Source organism: Homo sapiens, chromosome 7 (assembly GCF_000001405.40).
Source record: "Homo sapiens chromosome 7, GRCh38.p14 Primary Assembly".
NCBI classification, from domain to species: Eukaryota; Metazoa; Chordata; class Mammalia; order Primates; family Hominidae; genus Homo; species Homo sapiens.
The window spans coordinates 80,906,239-80,922,861 of record NC_000007.14 but is presented as its reverse complement, the minus strand read 5'-3'; the positions used below and the strand labels follow the sequence as shown (position 1 = coordinate 80,922,861).

The window sequence follows — 16,623 nt, the reverse complement described above, 5'->3', positions numbered from 1 at the left end:
TATTGCGCTTAACATACTTGATATGTTTAAAGGTGTTTAAGGAAATACTGAGGACTTAAACTTTGAACTTTGTAATAGCTTATACACTCACCTCGTTTAAAATTATAAATGTAAAACAGAGTGAACCATGAAACCTTTCTAGCCAATTTTCCTCTCCAGAGCAAACCACTGTTGCCAGTTTATTTTGTTTAATGTCAAGAACCCTACAATTTGAGAAGCATAGAGTGGTACATATCAACAGAGAAAAAACAGTCAGCAATACAGATTAGCAATAGATTAAGAATGAAAATAGAGATACACTCATCTTATTGAAAAATTAGAAATGATTTGATAGAGGAAATATTAAAGCCTATTTGCTGTGCAGGTAGCAGTTTCACACACAGATTTCTAGACCAGACCTGTTTGACCGGCTTGGTCTCAGAGCTGCTAATGTAACCCAAGGAGACGTAAGGCTGATGTAAATAAAGTAAGTAACCATTGGAAGTTGAGACTTTCCAAAGATACAGTTCAGGAAACTTAAAAGGATGGCATATGGAAGTTGAGTGAAGGAGAAAGAGAGGGAAGTAGAAAAGAGGAGAAAAATGTTAAGCAAAAAAGGTAAGAGGAAGTATTGAAACTTATTGAAAAACCTGAGACATTACGGCAATCACGCTTGAGTTTCTCTTCCTATTCTGATATTTACTACCCATTTGACTTTGGGCAAACCTTCAACGTTCTCTCATTGAAAATTGTAACTTCATTAAAGAATGCTATGCAGATAATAAGCAAAGTACCTCGCAAATACACAATCTATTTTCTATTACAAATATCAGTTTTTATGACTAAATAATAAGACAATTTTTAACCTCTGAATGATTAATATTCTCTGGTTAGGGTAAAGTTTATTTACATGACTCATCTGTATAATAGGGAAAAATCTGTTTTCTTTAAATTTGAAATAAGATAATGTATAGCTGCAGAAACTCCTGGAGAAAAGTATGTAACTCAACATCGGTGCTAGAGTTTTAAGTTAAATAGCATTCCTCAGGACCATCAAAAACATAAAATATTAAAAATATGCCCACTACACCTTGGCAGGCAGAGACACTTCAGTGTGTAAGATACTGCACCATTTCTAAAACGTCTTAATAAAAGTTATCCTAAGTATTTTAGTTTGGCCGCTCGTCTGAAACGTTTTGCTGGGTGCAAACATTGTAATTAGTGCTCTCTAAATTTAGTTGTGCCACTACTCCTGTAGATCCATTTAGTGTCCCCCTTACCGAAAACAGCGTTCTCAATTAGCTGTTGTTTTCCACTTGTAAGGACAGTCAAAGCTGAAGTCTTAAAAAAGTGGTAGTGCCCAGAAATGTTTCTTAGGCAAGTCTTGTTTTGTCAAGGTGTTTTAAGCAGTGTGGGGAAATGTGGGCAGAGATTAATCTTAGGGGCTTCTAGTGCCACTGTTAAAATTCCACTCTGTGGCCTAAGTCTCTGGCAAGCATGAGCACTGTGTCCTTGCGCTTGAATCTATCTTGGCTAAAGCCTATCAGTATTTTTATGATTCATTTTGAGGTGTGGCCAACTGTAAACGTCTCAGAGCTAAGCAAATACCATTAAATCCCAGGAGCACATTGAAAAGAGGTTTATTTGAGCAATATTGAGGGAATTTCGGCACAAATTTCATGGGCTGTGATTAAATCTAAGCTATTTGTCAAGGCCTCCAAACCCCTGAATGTGTAACAGATTGAGCTAATTCATTGGTGTTTGTAAATTGAGTTTGGAATTAAGCTCCTTTGTAAATACACCGTTTGAGATGCATTTCATCTTGCAACTCTTTATCGTGGTTTTCTCAAACTTAAAATGTATAAACGAATTCCATCTTACGTGAATTTGCTGATCAATTTCTAACAGCTCCACATTTCTAAATTAATTTAATCCACACACTCATCTTTCTAATGATTTATTCTTCTCCCTGCTTAATATATAAATGCCGAATGAGATATCAGAAGGAGGATAATAGTGGAGAGTATATAACCTGGATCTTACTCAGTTTCAGAAGTATTTCAGAGAAGCACGCACAGTGCTTATTCACATTGACATCTGGATTTTAATATTGTCAGTTTTTGGGGGGTTAAATTCCTTATTACAAATTTATGTCAAGGATCTTCTCACGCATCATCACAAAAAATAATTTTAACTGTTGTTACTATATTAATTTTTTGACGTTTGGAGATAATATTAGCCCTGGAATAGTATTTTTGAACTCATAAATTTGCATTATTTGACTTGATCCTTCGTTCCTTGACTATGCAGCGTGAGTCTGAGACACGTGTATGTTTACTGAACACAAGAGGTGGGCCCCAGACACATGAAAGATGTGTCTCACTCACCTCTTCCTCCTACCTGAGATTTCATTCAACTTTCCCACTGAACAATGATTTTGCACCCCCAGAGGGGTTTTCTATGATACAGTTTATAAGAATTTAATGATTGTTTCATTATGTGAATTGTCAGGTATAAGGTGGAGATATTACACTCCACGTTCCTTCTGTAGAGTGACATCTGCTGGGCTGTGCCCCACAGTGATTTTAAGCAAGTGCCTGCTTGTTTTATGGGGATCAAAGCTCATTTCTCCCGATGTTTAAACATCTAGTTTATTGTGGTCCGGAGAAGTAATTTTCACTTAAACATCAAAGTCAGTTCCAGAGTTTAACGAGTGTACCTGAAAGTAATGCTGGAAAAATACCTCTGATGTATTTCTGTAGATGTGTGGTTATGGCAATCTGTTGGCATAACTCAGAACAGCCTCTCCACATAGAATTGTCAAATAATTTCTTCGTGTAATTATGTTTGGGAGTATGGTTGGGGACAACGTACTGGATATGAGTCAACGTGGAGGGGTCAACAGAATTACTGCTTTCAGGGCATTAAGGAAACTCAATAGGAAACAATACCCATTAAAAGGATACACTTGTGCAACAAGATTGTCGTTTATCTTGACCTGTTTTAGAAAACACGCAACAGAGGCCCGGCGCGGTGGCTCTCGGCACTTTGGGCGGCTGAGGCGGGCGGACCATTAGGTCAAGAGATCCAGACCATCCTGGCCCTGTCTCTACTAAAAATACAAAAATTAGCTGGGCGTGGTGGTGGGAGCCTGTAGTCCCAGCTATTCAGGAGGCTGAGGCAGGAGAATCGCTTGAACCCGGGAGGCGGAGGTTGCAGTGAGCCATGATCACACCACTGCACTGCACTCCAGCCTGGCGACAGAGTGAGATTCCCTCTCCAAAAACAAAACAAAAAACAAAAAACAAAAAACAAAAAAAAAACGCAGCAGAATAAGGACAAAACTCACGTCCTTTTAAAAACGCATCTCTTTGCCTTAAAAGGCTGCAGTGATCCTTCCCTGGCAAAAATAAAAAACCACAACTGCTTTGCACTTTGATATTTACGGCCAGGCAAAGCCTGTGTAAGTCTTCGAGAGCCGCCGGCAACAAAAACCGTGGAGCGCACCCAGCAAGTTGCTCACTCCGCCGCGGACTGCGAAAGGAGCAGGGTTGCGGAGCTAGGGCTCCAGCCTGCGGCCGCGCATTCTTGCGTCTGGCCAGCCGCGAGCTCTAAGGGTCGGCCCCGCCCGGTCCGCCCCCGCGGCTCCCTGCCAGGCTCTCGCGGGCGCGCTCGGGGTGGGGCCTCGCGGCTGGCGGAGATGCGGCCGGGGCTGCGCGGTGGTGATGCGAGCCTGCAGGGCGGCGCGCCGGGGCAGCCGGAGCCGCGCGCCGCGGCGCTGTAATCGGACACCAAGAGCGCTCGCCCCCGGCCTCCGGCCACTTTCCATTCACTCCGAGGTGCTTGATTGAGCGACGCGGAGAAGAGCTCCGGGTGCCGCGGCACTGCAGCGCTGAGATTCCTTTACAAAGAAACTCAGAGGACCGGGAAGAAAGAATTTCACCTTTGCGACGTGCTAGAAAATAAGGTCGTCTGGGAAAAGGACTGGAGACACAAGCGCATCCAACCCCGGTAGCAAACTGATGACTTTTCCGTGCTGATTTCTTTCAACCTCGGTAAGCTAAATTGGTCATTTTCCGCATTACAGATTTAGCAAAGTATAACTTTTTTGGCCTGTATATTGATTTTTCATACATTGGTATGCTCAAGCCTGGACATTTTCTTAAGAACACACGCGGTTTGTCAGGGAAGCTTTCCCCTTGCTGAGAGCCCTGCTCGAGTTGTTTCTTTAGGCGGTGACACCTGCGGAGAGTTTCAAGTTGAGTATTACAGTGCCTTCAAAGGCAAAATTGCTCCAGAGGAGATAAGAGAATTCTTTTCTTAATGTGTTGTTAGTTTGCGATCAGCAGAAGTGAAAACACCAAGAGGAACGTCTGTGTCTGAGTTAAAGGGAAGAAGTTGTAAGATACTGTTGGGGAGGCGGGGGTGTATTTAAGACACTTGGCTTTCAGTCTTTCACTCCTCATCACTAGGTGGGATGTAAATCAAATTGCCCTGTAGACTATCTTCGTTTCACCTGCCATTGTATCACCAGTATTCTTTGCAATTGGTTGTATATGTACTTTTGGGAGAAACATATAAGGTAAGATACCAATATGTAAAAAAAATGTGTAAATAATATCAACTTGCTCAGTAAACATAACAAAGGTTAGGCATATTAATAGTTTTTTTCTTTTGGCTTTAACTATGAAGTCAACAGAACCAAGGGGTAAATTACTGAGGGAAAGTCACCCATAAAATCAGTTTCTTTCTAAGTTAATTTAGGGATGACAGGGTGAAGAGGTTGTGGAAGCAGGAAGAAACTGTTTCTTTTGAAAATTACCAACACAAACATCTCTAGAGTTTCCTCCATCTGTGTGGTAAAAGAAGCGTACAATTTCATTTCTAACTCTCATAACATATGCACCACCTAGGAAATCTACTTACAATTTTTGTTTAAAATTGCATATTCCATTTAATTCTTTTTATTCTGTATTAATGAAGCTGTCTTTTTCAGTTGTTAGTGGTTCTTACAAAGAATTTAATAATTTTGACTATGAAATTTTAATTTGAAAAGCCAAATAATGAAGATCAGCATTGTTGTAACCTGTAAAAATAAATTTCTTTACTGGACTCTTGGGTCACTTTATTGTGTAATTATGGTAGAAGCAAAATGATTGTGTTTCTTTAATGGTCCTGAGTTTATTTTACATGATGTAGCCACTAGAGCTCCTGTAGGTTTATGGTAACACATTATCTGGTCTTCCTTGGGATTCAGATATTAGTTAATAGCATGTACCAATTTTATATCTATAGTTTGAAGCAGTGACACCTGTCTCTTTGATTTATCTTTGGGAATTTTGACAGCCCACATTCTGGTTGATTTATTTAAAATATGCATTGGTGGATACATGGCTCACTGGATTGCTCACCACTAGGTCATTGGTTTGAATTTGGCACTAGTCCATGGTTACTTCAACTGCATCATTTAACAACTGCCTGTTGGTCATCTGGATAAAATGGCAGATAACTGATTCCAGTGACTTCAGTGATCCAGGATTGAGCACACATAGATTTATGTAAGGAAACACCACTTCCAGAGACAATTACTCCAAAAGAGCTAATGACTATTGAAGTGAGTAGGTACACATGAATGCTCATGTGAGATTTTGCTGCTGCTGTTACGTTAGTGGGGGGAAAGAGTTCTCATCCAGTAATATTCTTTTAGCTCAATTCTATTCAAGTCTTTTTAATGTAATGGATTTCTAGAGAGAAGATCCGTTAAAATATTGGGCTTTCCTTTGGGTATCAGTGTTTTTCTTCACTGCTTTGTTCTGTTTTGATGGTAGCATCAATTTGCTGGAAGATGAAAGTTTCTCTTGTTGCAAAGACTTCCAGACACAAATGAATCAAATCCACATTTTCACATCTGAGAAGCAAAGACACAGCACCTCCTACTGTTTGCATTACTGTAAAAGTTCAGATGGTTCTTTTGTGAATAGGGTGTTTTGTCTAGATTGCTGTTTTTTCCTACTCCTAAAATGTGAAATGAGATATAACAAACATGTTGTCTCTCTCTTAAAGGTATTTTCCCTTGGATATTAACTTGCATATCTGAAGAAATGGCATTCCGGACAATTTGCGTGTTGGTTGGAGTATTTATTTGTTCTATCTGTGTGAAAGGATCTTCCCAGCCCCAAGCAAGAGTTTATTTAACATTTGATGGTAAGAGAGTTGATAAACACTCTGGGAAAAATGTTATTTTAAGTTTTGTTATCTTCCTTATCCAGATTCAGAAATTAAGAGTATAAATATTACTGGATATTAATTTTAAAAATATTTACTGGGCTGCGTTTTGGAGGACAATAGCTATTTTAAATGATTGGTTAATAGACAAAGATCCTCTGTTGGATTTGAGGTATTTATGAAAATGCTTATAATATATGCTGCTTTTTGTAAAATAATTCTTCTGTGCTTGCCTGTGTACTCACAGAGGAGATGGGCACGAGCTCAAAGCCTAGCATCTTTGATCTTACTGTTCACCTGGTAATGTTAAGAAATTGCCCCTTTGTGCTAATCCTCAGCAGCAGAGAGAGCTATGCAGGTTCAATTACTAAAAAATTCTCCCAATTAATTTTTTGGGCATTAGTCTCAAAACTGGTTACTCCGTGTGTTGTTCTAATGGTGTTTCTTCTTTTTCCACAAGGATTTCCTGAGATTGGCATAGTCCCCTAATTAATTGAAAAGGACCTAAAAGAATAATTGGAAATATGCTTTTGATGGTTGTTGTATACAAATGTTCTCAGAAGCTTAGGGAAATGGGTGTGATTTCAGATTTTCACATACATAAAAGGTGCAAGGTCTTCTGAGGGAATGGTTTGCATGAGCTTTAATGTATATAGTTCAAAGGACTTACAGATGAATGAATTTGGTTAGTCAAGTAACCCATACTAATTGGACAGATGGAGCAAGACATGGATGAGGAACACCATCCTGCCAATCAAGGTCATTTATAATTTTATTACTTCTTTCAACTCTGCATAAACTTTAGTGTCATTGCAAGTACTTTTTCTTTCATTTGATAAACAATATATTCTCAGACCTTTCTATAGCAGAGTGTCTCTGAAACTTTGTCTCAAATTCCTTTTTTTTTTTTTTTTTTTGAGACAGTGTCTCACGCTGTCACCAGGTTGGAGTGCAGTGACACGATCTCGGCTCACTGCAGTCTCCACCTCCCAGGTTCAAGCCATTCTCCTTCCTCAGCCTACCCAGTAGCTGGGATTACAGGTGCGTGCCACCACACCGAGCTAATTTTTGTATTTTTAGTAGAGACGGAGTTTCACCATGTTGGCCAGGATGGTCTCGATCTCCTGACCTTGTGATCTGCCCGCCTCCGCCTCCCGAGGTGAGCCACCACGCCTGGCCTCAAATTTCAAATAGCAGAATGACTGACACTTGCCAGTCAAATGGCTGTCCTTTTTTTCTTTTTAAGTCACCAGTGCTTTCCCCAAGGTTGTCATAAGCACCGAAGGAGCCATATTTGGAACTTAGAATGTGTGAGCTTCTAATTGCTTCCTTAGCCTCCATGCAAGGCATTTCCCCTTAAAACCCATAGCTATGCAGTTAAGTTGTGAAGAATGGAAAAACAGACCCTTTGAGGTATCCTTTTTAGCCCCTTAATTACTAAAGCATCTTACAGACTACCCACACTTTTCCTCCCAAGTTAGAACTATGAAATACGTTTTCAAATAAAAGAGAAAGGGCATTAAGAAGTAGTGCAATTTCCCCTCTATTTTCTATATTTCTCCTAGTATATATAGAGATGGAGTGACCTAATAGATTAGATGTCTCTACCTGCTTTCTTTTCCATTACATGAAAATTAATCCAAACTAATGTAAATATCAACAAAAAGTGTGTTACTAGAGATAATGAACCAATTCTGTATTTGAAAAAGCAATTGCAATTCATATTTTACAGAAGGAAATTACATAGTATAATCTTTTAGAACCAGACTTCAGAACTGTGTAAGACAGTGACAGCTATGCTATACAGTGACTAGAAGTAATGATGGGATTTAAAATAATATATGCCTAATATTTTAAATGCACTCAAACTTAAAACAGATTCTTGCAGAATAAGACTTGCCTTGATTTGTAACTTATGTAGAATATGACATGAGTTGTTGATCTCAAAGTTCTATAATTCCTGATATTTTGTTCTTCTCAGGTGTATTACTGGTACTCTTAGGAAGTGAGAGAAAAACAGAGCAAATAATCAGAGAGATAGAAAATCACTTGTTTTGAATACTGTTTAAAAGAGATGTATCAACAGTGAGAATACATCTAATAAAATTGCACGATTGGTAACTCAATAATTTTAAACATTCCTACAATGAACTACATAGACAAGTTATAGGGAAAGTATCAGGCGAAAACAGTTGTCAAAATGTACAAATTTTAAACCTTGGTTCAATACAGTTTTCTTAGGAGATTTCACAGTGTACCTGCTTGAAATGCCTGTTCAAATTTATTATTATTTAAAGTTTCTCATTAGTCAAATGATGACTCATTGACTATTGTACCAAGTAGGTTTTTAAGTTTCCTCCAAAGTAGTTTATTCTCAACATCAAAATATAGAGCTTTGTATGGGGTTAATGTATTTAAGAGTATATATTTAAATACATGTGGCATATACTTCTAGTTCGTATTTCTAAAGTTCTATTACTGTTTTCCAATAAAAAATCAGCAACTGAAAGGTGTTTTGCAGAAATTCAGATAGTTTCAAGTTGTATTAGACAGAGGTCATTTGCATTACTTGTTTTATATCTCTAAGTACCTTTAGATTCTCTCGTAATTACTTTACCTACTGGCTCTTTTGTCTTGAATTCTTCTCCATCACTGTAACTTGGTCCTCTGCCTGTCTCTCTCTGGGTGGAACTTGAGAAGAAACCACTCAGTCTTGTGTTACTTCCGGTGCAATAAGCATCATAGGCAATTTCAAGGTGTGTAGAGCAATGAGTCTCTTCTCCCATTCATGTTCCATCCCTTTTTCTTGTGGTGAAATAATGGAGTAATAACATTTGTAAAACAGTGATTTACAGGTTTGCCTTCCCTGTTGATCTAGGGCAAGGTCAACCAGATGGTCATCAGTCCTGTGGGAGAATGTACTTCAGATGTTATTAATTAGTTACATTTGTGCTACTTAAATCTTCTATGTTGAGACCTGTGACTTCTAATATTTTCTTTTGTAATTGGTCTAACTCTTATTTTATGCCAAATAGCTTTGCAAGTGAATATAAGGTTCACACAAATGCTTTTAGTATAAGTTTTTCCTTAGTTAATATTGGCCAATCTTGCAGCCCATGGCTGAATTTACATTTGCATATGCATGACAGTGGTTTAAAAACAGAAAACTGAGTGTGAGTTTTGAATTGGAAATAGGTATTTTATGACTAAGCACTAGACTTGCATAGGATTACCTGTTTTTTCTTTTCCTTTTTTTTGAGACAGAGTCTCGCTCTGCCTCCCAGGCTGGAGTGCAATGGTGAGATCTTGGCTCACTGCAACCTCCACCTCCTGGGTTCAAGCAATTGTCCTGCCTCAGCCTCCCGAGTAGCTGGGATTACAGGTGTGCGACACCATGCCCAGCTAATTTTTGTACTTTTAGTAGAGACAGGGTTTCACCACGTTGGCCCGGCTGGTCTCGAACTCCTGACTTCAGGTGATCCGCCTGTCTCAGCCTCCCAAATTGTTGACATTACAGGCGTGAGCCACTGCGCCTGGCCCTGTTTTATTTATTTACTTTGTGATTCATTTTCCCTTTTGTGTGTGCTGAATTTTTAGTAATAAAGCTGCCAAAGTCTCCAGGTCTTTGATAGTATGTAAATGAAAGACTATGGAATTTTATAAAACATCTTTTAAAATCACCCTCAACAAATAAAAGAATCCCTGTGAACTAATGAACTAAGCCCCAAAGCTGATGAATTGTTATTGGACAATAAACTGAAAATAATAAATTGCCTCTTTATGAGCTCTGGTAGCATTAGCATTACAAGGCACGTTTGTTGAAATAGTTTTTGTTGTGGTTGCCCAAGAAATGAAAATAAAAGCAGTTGTTCTTGATTTCTCCGTTAATCTTGGAAGATGCTTACTCTGGGTGTATTGAATCTTCTCAGGTTTGTGTTACTGAGAAGTATTTAGTTCTCAGGTGTGTGTTATGGCATTTTCTTTTAAGTCTCCTTATGATGGTTTCAATTAAATGTCACTGAAATATCTTGAAGCACACATGAGTGTTTTAGTAAACCCAAACTCAAGGGGTGCTCTGTGAATAAAAAGTTCCTTCTACTCTCCCCCTTGTGAGAGTTTAATTGAACTCAGCAAAGGATTGATGAATTCACTTGTGAGTTGGACATTACCTGAAACATGAGTCTAGAATAGAGTAACACTAAATTTGTAAAGCAGCAAGGTAAAAACTGTTATAAAATACAATTGCAATGGAAGATGAGAAGAATTGCTAAGAAATGTAGCCTCGTATGTCTATTTTCCCCTGTAATATGTATTGATATAGGGCTCTGGTAATCAAAATAAAATAATATTTCTAGTAGACTTGAATTGGAGGGAGGAAATTTTATTTCAGGTATTGCAAAGAACATCTCTTGAAAATTTTAGGATAAAAGGTGTTACATTGATATGCTGTGGATTTCTCCTAGAGAAAAAATTTTAGAAAAATGTGTAAGCCTATATTTTCCTGTTTAAAAAAGTAATTACTGTTCCAGGTGAGTTTCATCAGATTATAATAAGCTTGATTCTGTTGCCAATAAATGATATTCTGTGTTAAGCCATTCAGAGTTACAAGGTTCCTACAATTGGGAGCAAAGAAGGAATGCTTTAGTGTTCTGAAGTTAGAAGAGTGAGCTTGAGTGTTTTGTTAATCGGTCATACGAACACAGCGGTTCCATTAAAAAAAAATGTGGTCGAGCACGGGGGCTCACGCCTGTAATCCTAGCACTTTGGGAGGCCAAGGCGGGTGGATCACGAGGTCAGGAGATCAAGATCATGCTGGCTATCGTGGTGATACCCCGTCTCTACTAAAAATACAAAAAATTAGCCAGGCATGGTGGTGGCCACCTGTAGTCCTAGCTACTCGGGAGGCTGAGGCAGGAGAATGGCATAAACTCGGGAGGCAGAGCTTGCAGTGAGTCGAGGTCGTGCCATTGTACTCCAGCCTGAGCCATTGTACTCCAGCCTGAGCAAGAGAGTGAGACTCTCTTTCAAAAAAAAAAAAAAAGGTCCTATTCTATGAATTAATAGACATGCCTAAACATGTTTACTAAATTGAACTCTTTATCAAATGAAGATGGTGCAAGTGATCCTAGATAGCTTATTTTAAATTTGTTCACATGTTGATCATATATGTTGATATGTTGTTCACATATATTGATAAAACGATGTTACTTAGCCTTTATTTGCAATTTTGATTCAGAAGATATATCTAGAACCAAAGTTATACATTTTCGCATTCTTCCTAGGTGTATACTACTTTTTGTCTTCTTTGTTTCTAAAATAGTTTTGGCAATTAAACACTAACATTAATACTGACTTTGTGGCAGCCATTTCTGTAGCTGCCATGAGAATTAGTTTTAAGATCCACAAAGATCACAATGAAAGGAAAAAGGAAAAGAATTTTTCTCAGTAAGATATTCTGTAAACATATCATGTTAACTATGTCATGCTAGAATTTTACATTGCTCTTAGAACATCAAACCTGCCTGAAAATGAAATAAAATTCATTCCCTATATCATCCCAAATTCCCCCTTTAATTTATGATTCATCAAGGTGAAGATGAGGGGAATTACCTCTCTGGAACATGTTTATTTTGTTGCTGTAACTGAGATCTCCCTTTGTGCCTATGCGAGCAAGTCAGTGCTTAGATGGATAACAGTAGAAAAAAATTATTATACACTCTCCTCATTTCATTATGCAAATTTATCAGGATGTATCTCCATAAATTCACTATACCTTGCACTGTCTTTTAAAACAAAAGATTCAGATGTTCTTTTTCATGGATATCATTCATTGCATTAAAAAAATGGCACCGAGACACACTCAATTTTTTCTTTCATAAACATCTTTTATATAAGGAGGTTGTAAAAAATAACTTATTTTAAATAAAAAAACTATCACTTTGCTATAATAAAGAACTATCACTTTGGTTTTAGTTCCATTACTGTTAAAAAAAAAAAAAAAAAGAACGAGCATTGGGAAATAGAGCTGTGAGCTTTGGGCAGATTCCAGCACTTTTTTGCCTTCTGCATTTTCATTTATATATTACTGAAGACCTCTGTTGTTAAGGAAAACACATTTAAAGGCAAGGAACAGAAAGGTAAGATGTTCTGTAGCTCAGAGTATGAGTTAGCAAGAAGGGCACATGGAAGGTAGAACTAAGTGCTGAGCCATGTGCTATTTTAGGGTAGCACTAGCCATGAAACAATTTGCTGAGCTGTAAAAGATGGCAAGTATGTTCCACGTTTTAAATTGCAGGCTTTTCAGAAACAATCATTTCAACCCATCCTCCTTATCCAATGAGAATGAGCTGTCTTTAAGCTCTCAATAGGGATATGTTACTTCTGTAAAATGCTTTTTACTTTTCAAATAATTCCCTTATTATTTAATTTATTATAGAATGCCTATGAAGTAAATTGGCATGGAGGCTAAAGCTCTTGGTTAAGGTTCTACAGCTTAATGGTGGCATTGACAAGACTAGAAGACAAAATGGTATAAGAAGAGAAAAATTAATTATGAGCAGTGCTTGTATAGAATCAGAGATACCCTGCAAATGTATGTTACAAAATCTGCAGAAATGCAAGGCTATTAATATGAGTATTAACAACTTGCTTCATGATATTTCTTCTCCAAGTATGTACAACACTGTAGCTTTAACATACCTTACATTTTTAATTAACTGCTGATTTTCAGCAGTAATTTGAGGATCATTATATATCAGGCTTTAAATCTGTTCAACACCATATTTTAAGTGCCTCTCAATTCTCTTTGCGAAGATTGAGGCAATACATAAATAAGAATAATTTATATTTTCATTTATCTCTAATTCATGCAAATTAATGAACATACTAGTCTTGTCTTTCCTTCCCCAAGTTACTGCTCTTGTAATCAAGAGCTCGTTTGATGTGCTATGTACATCAGGATTCCATATTCCCCTTAGTCAATCCCTAGAATATTCCACTCTGCTCATTTATGTATTGCCTTAGAGTGAAAAATCCATTAAAGTAATCTTATGTTCTGGTTTGAACTGATGCCACTGAAAATGCTAAATATTCTTGCCTTACTCAACTTTAACGCTTGCTAGCATTTAAGATTCTTGATAATAAAAGTATAAAACATTCTACCTAATTAATTTCTAAATTACTACCTTAGTACAACTATTTTCTGATAAAAATGATCAGGTACCAGACTTTGAATTTTGAATACAAGATTGCTCTTATATTTAACCTTATTTGTAATATAATGGCTAATGTAAAGTCTCTAGTCTATATGGAATAGATAAACTCAGGGAGTTACAGCAATGTAATTTTACAGAAGATTTCTGTTCCTCAGAGAAGGGAGACAGAATGTTGATCCAGCAGAAAGAAAACCTTAACTCTATGTAGAATTAATAGCTCTGAAGAAGCAACTTCTAAATTATTTTAGGAAAAACTTATTTCCTTATAGATTTTGACTTTCTACAGATAGAATTAATTATGGAGAGAGGATATATATCTGAGTAAAAATAAATGCAGAACTCTCTCACACACACACATACACACACTCACATCGTCTATGAGTAAAATTACATTATATTTGAATACCGTTTTAGTCTTTCCTAAGTGTATACTCTCTTGTATATTCATATAACAAAAACTGTTCAGTCAGAAAAAAGCTGTTGTATTCCTGGTATCATTTTAAATGCATTATTTATATGTTTTCTTATTTTAAATTTATGAATAACCACAGATTTGTAATTATATAATTGGATCATTAGTTTGGTGAACACTTTATTACTTAAAACATTATTGTAACACTTATATAGTGACAGCTTTTAGTGCAAGCAAGCTGAGGACCAGGACAAGAAACTCTGGTGACTTGTGAATTTGAGCCCTGTCTCCCTCCCATTTTTCTGACAGCTGGTGATAGTGAGAACAAAATGAGTTGTTGAATAGCAACCCGCAAAAAGGAAGTAATCCATCCCTAGCACAGATAACGGGGATGTAAAGGGAGTCAATGGGGCACATAATATGTAAAGCATCAATAAGATAAGTACCTAAATTTGCTCTCTACGCCTGCTTTTCTTTTTTTCCAGCCAGCGAAGTCTTGCAACCCAAGTTGCTAGTGTTACTATAGTTAGCGTCAGTTGCCAAAGAGCGAGCAGAATCTCAATTATAGCATATGAAATGTAGTCTTTAATTATGTGCTTCAGTTTTCCAAAATCCTCATTTCACAAAAGTTAAATTAGAAAAGACCTTTTCTCTTTTGTAAATAGACATAACTTTGTACAAACTGTGTGAAGTACACCAAGCTGGCACTTCATTCATCGCTGAAATTTGATAGTGAACACAACGGGTCTGAAGATTTTAAGACAGCAGTAACAAAATTAGAAACTGAGAGTAAGGGGAGTTGAACGTCCTAGTATTCTTGCTTGACCTTCCTTGTAATTGAGTCAAGTAGAAATAATATATGTGATCACAGTTTATTTTAAATGATACAGACTATTACATGTGAAAAGACAATTCCAATGCAACTATAATTCTTAAGACAGGGATCTCTTGTTTAATGGAATTAGTGAGTAGTAGCAAAGTGGTTATAAAATTGGCTTGTATAAATATTATACAAATGATATTTTTCTATTGAATTTCGTTACATAATTAGAGTCCATGTGTAAACAAACTATTCAACAGCCTGAATTGAACAACTTTTAATAAAGAAACTTAACAGGATGATAAGGCATGCAGAAGTTTAGATATGGTATGGTGGATACGTTGGAGCCTTTTAAATAACATGTCTGCCCTTGTAGATAGATGTACGCTAGTTATCATAACTCAAGCAGAAGAAAAACCTTATGACTTAAATTACCCCTTGATTTGAAAAGAATTATCGAATAATTTAATTTGTGTCAGTTGCCAGTCAGAGCCCTAAGTATTCTCTAAACAGTCTAGTTCTGTATTCACAACTAAACATTATTACATACTAATGATGCAGTTAATAGGAAGAGATTGGAGTCTCATTGCCATTATATAGGAATCTGACATTAAATAGAACCACCCTTATAGATTGTTTATAAAAACAATCTTTCTGGCATCAAAAGCCTCCAACTTTGTTGGTCCATCCAGCCAGATTGTCGCTCCATAAATTCAGGCTCAAGGGCTTTTTCCTTTCTCCTGAACAGTAATGCTCAAAACATTCCAAGAGACCAGAACATTAAGCAGGAATAAAACAATGAGTGTATTATCATCACCAAAAGAGCATTTTGAATTTTATTAGAAGAAACCAATTAAGATGTTATTTTCAAGCAGAGGGCTTGGCATGGCTTCAGAAAGTTACTTTCCGGAGTCGGGCAGGGGTTTAGCTGGCACAGAGAGCGGATCTTTAGCTTAGAGTTTTGACAGCTTTAATGCACATGCAACTGGAATTTTTTTTCTTTAAGCTGATTCTTTTAAAAGCCATGCTTCCTGCCACTGTTTCACATAATTGCATCAATTCCATTTTCCATTAGTAGTCAAAACCTGCTGATGTGACTGGAGTTTTAAAACTTTTGTGTAAAAATCTAATTATGTACATTTTTTCAGAGGAAACTGATAATGAATATGAACTATGCAGCTGTATTTTCTATTTTGATATCTAAAGTACAGTAAGCAAAGGGTTCTATATGCTAGTATTATAACCTTTGGTTATTCATTTAATTATATTGACAACAGTGGTATAATCAATTTTCTATGATAGAAGAAAAAGCATTCAGTAAGCTTTACTTTGTGGAAGAAAAAGCAGCCCCTACCGCTTGGCTACAGAATAATGAAATATTCTGGTTTTAGGTGAAAGGAAATGCTTGCCTCTCCCCTTATATCTATAGTATTCCTTTTATAATGTTTTTATTTTCAACAGCTTGTCTGCATAGAATATTTTATAATGATCTACACTGGTATATTTCTTCTGACATCTACCTTCTACTCTTCTGATAATGTATTCAACACTTTTAATACGCATAATTATATGTAGACATTTCAGATACTACACTAGAGACTTATAAAATATACTATCTAGCAATTGATCTCTTGTATTTGTTTTCCTTTCTTCCCTCTCTTTTTTTTCTCTTCTTTTTTACTGACATGAGAAAAAGATGATCAAGCTTAGTCTGGAATTATTCATGAAATGGTGAAAGCTTCAGAGCCCAGGTGCTGATGGAATGTGTAGCAGGAATGTAGTTAAAGGTGGCCGAGAGTTAAGATGTGTCATTTATTTGTGCTATGGAGATGAAATTCAGTGCCATGAGCACTTAGATGAAATTACCTCTGCAATAACCATCTTCGGTTTCCAAATTTTACAATATTTGATAGTAAAGCATAGTTGCAACCTTTTCTAATATTGCTTCTGGGTAAAAAGAATATTAGATTTTT

General features: G+C 36.9%; 1 protein-coding gene across 3 annotated transcripts in view, besides 2 other annotated features; it reads left to right on the top strand.

Moving 5' to 3' along the window:
• Window positions 473–16,623, top strand: part of SEMA3C (semaphorin 3C) — a 179,852-nt gene continuing 163,701 nt past the window's right edge. For 2 of the 3 annotated variants that reach the window (NM_006379.5, NM_001350121.2), the window contains exons 1-2: window positions 3,811–4,034; window positions 6,043–6,183. In NM_006379.5, coding sequence (NP_006370.1) covers window positions 6,081–6,183 — 103 coding nt within the window. In that variant the 5' untranslated portion in view covers window positions 3,811–4,034; window positions 6,043–6,080. Of the gene's footprint in view, window positions 598–3,810; window positions 4,035–6,042; window positions 6,184–16,623 lie in introns of those variants that run through there. The other variant, NM_001350120.2, reaches the window with a different exon arrangement.
• Window positions 3,545–3,674: a silencer, noted in NCBI's record as "silent region_18334". NCBI's record gives its function as "represses an Ori minimal core promoter by ATAC-STARR-seq in GM12878 lymphoblastoid cells {active_cell/tissue: GM12878}" and the evidence as "EXISTENCE:reporter gene assay evidence [ECO:0000049][PMID:35858748]".
• Window positions 4,222–4,291: an enhancer, noted in NCBI's record as "active region_26210". NCBI's record gives its function as "activates an Ori minimal core promoter by ATAC-STARR-seq in GM12878 lymphoblastoid cells {active_cell/tissue: GM12878}" and the evidence as "EXISTENCE:reporter gene assay evidence [ECO:0000049][PMID:35858748]".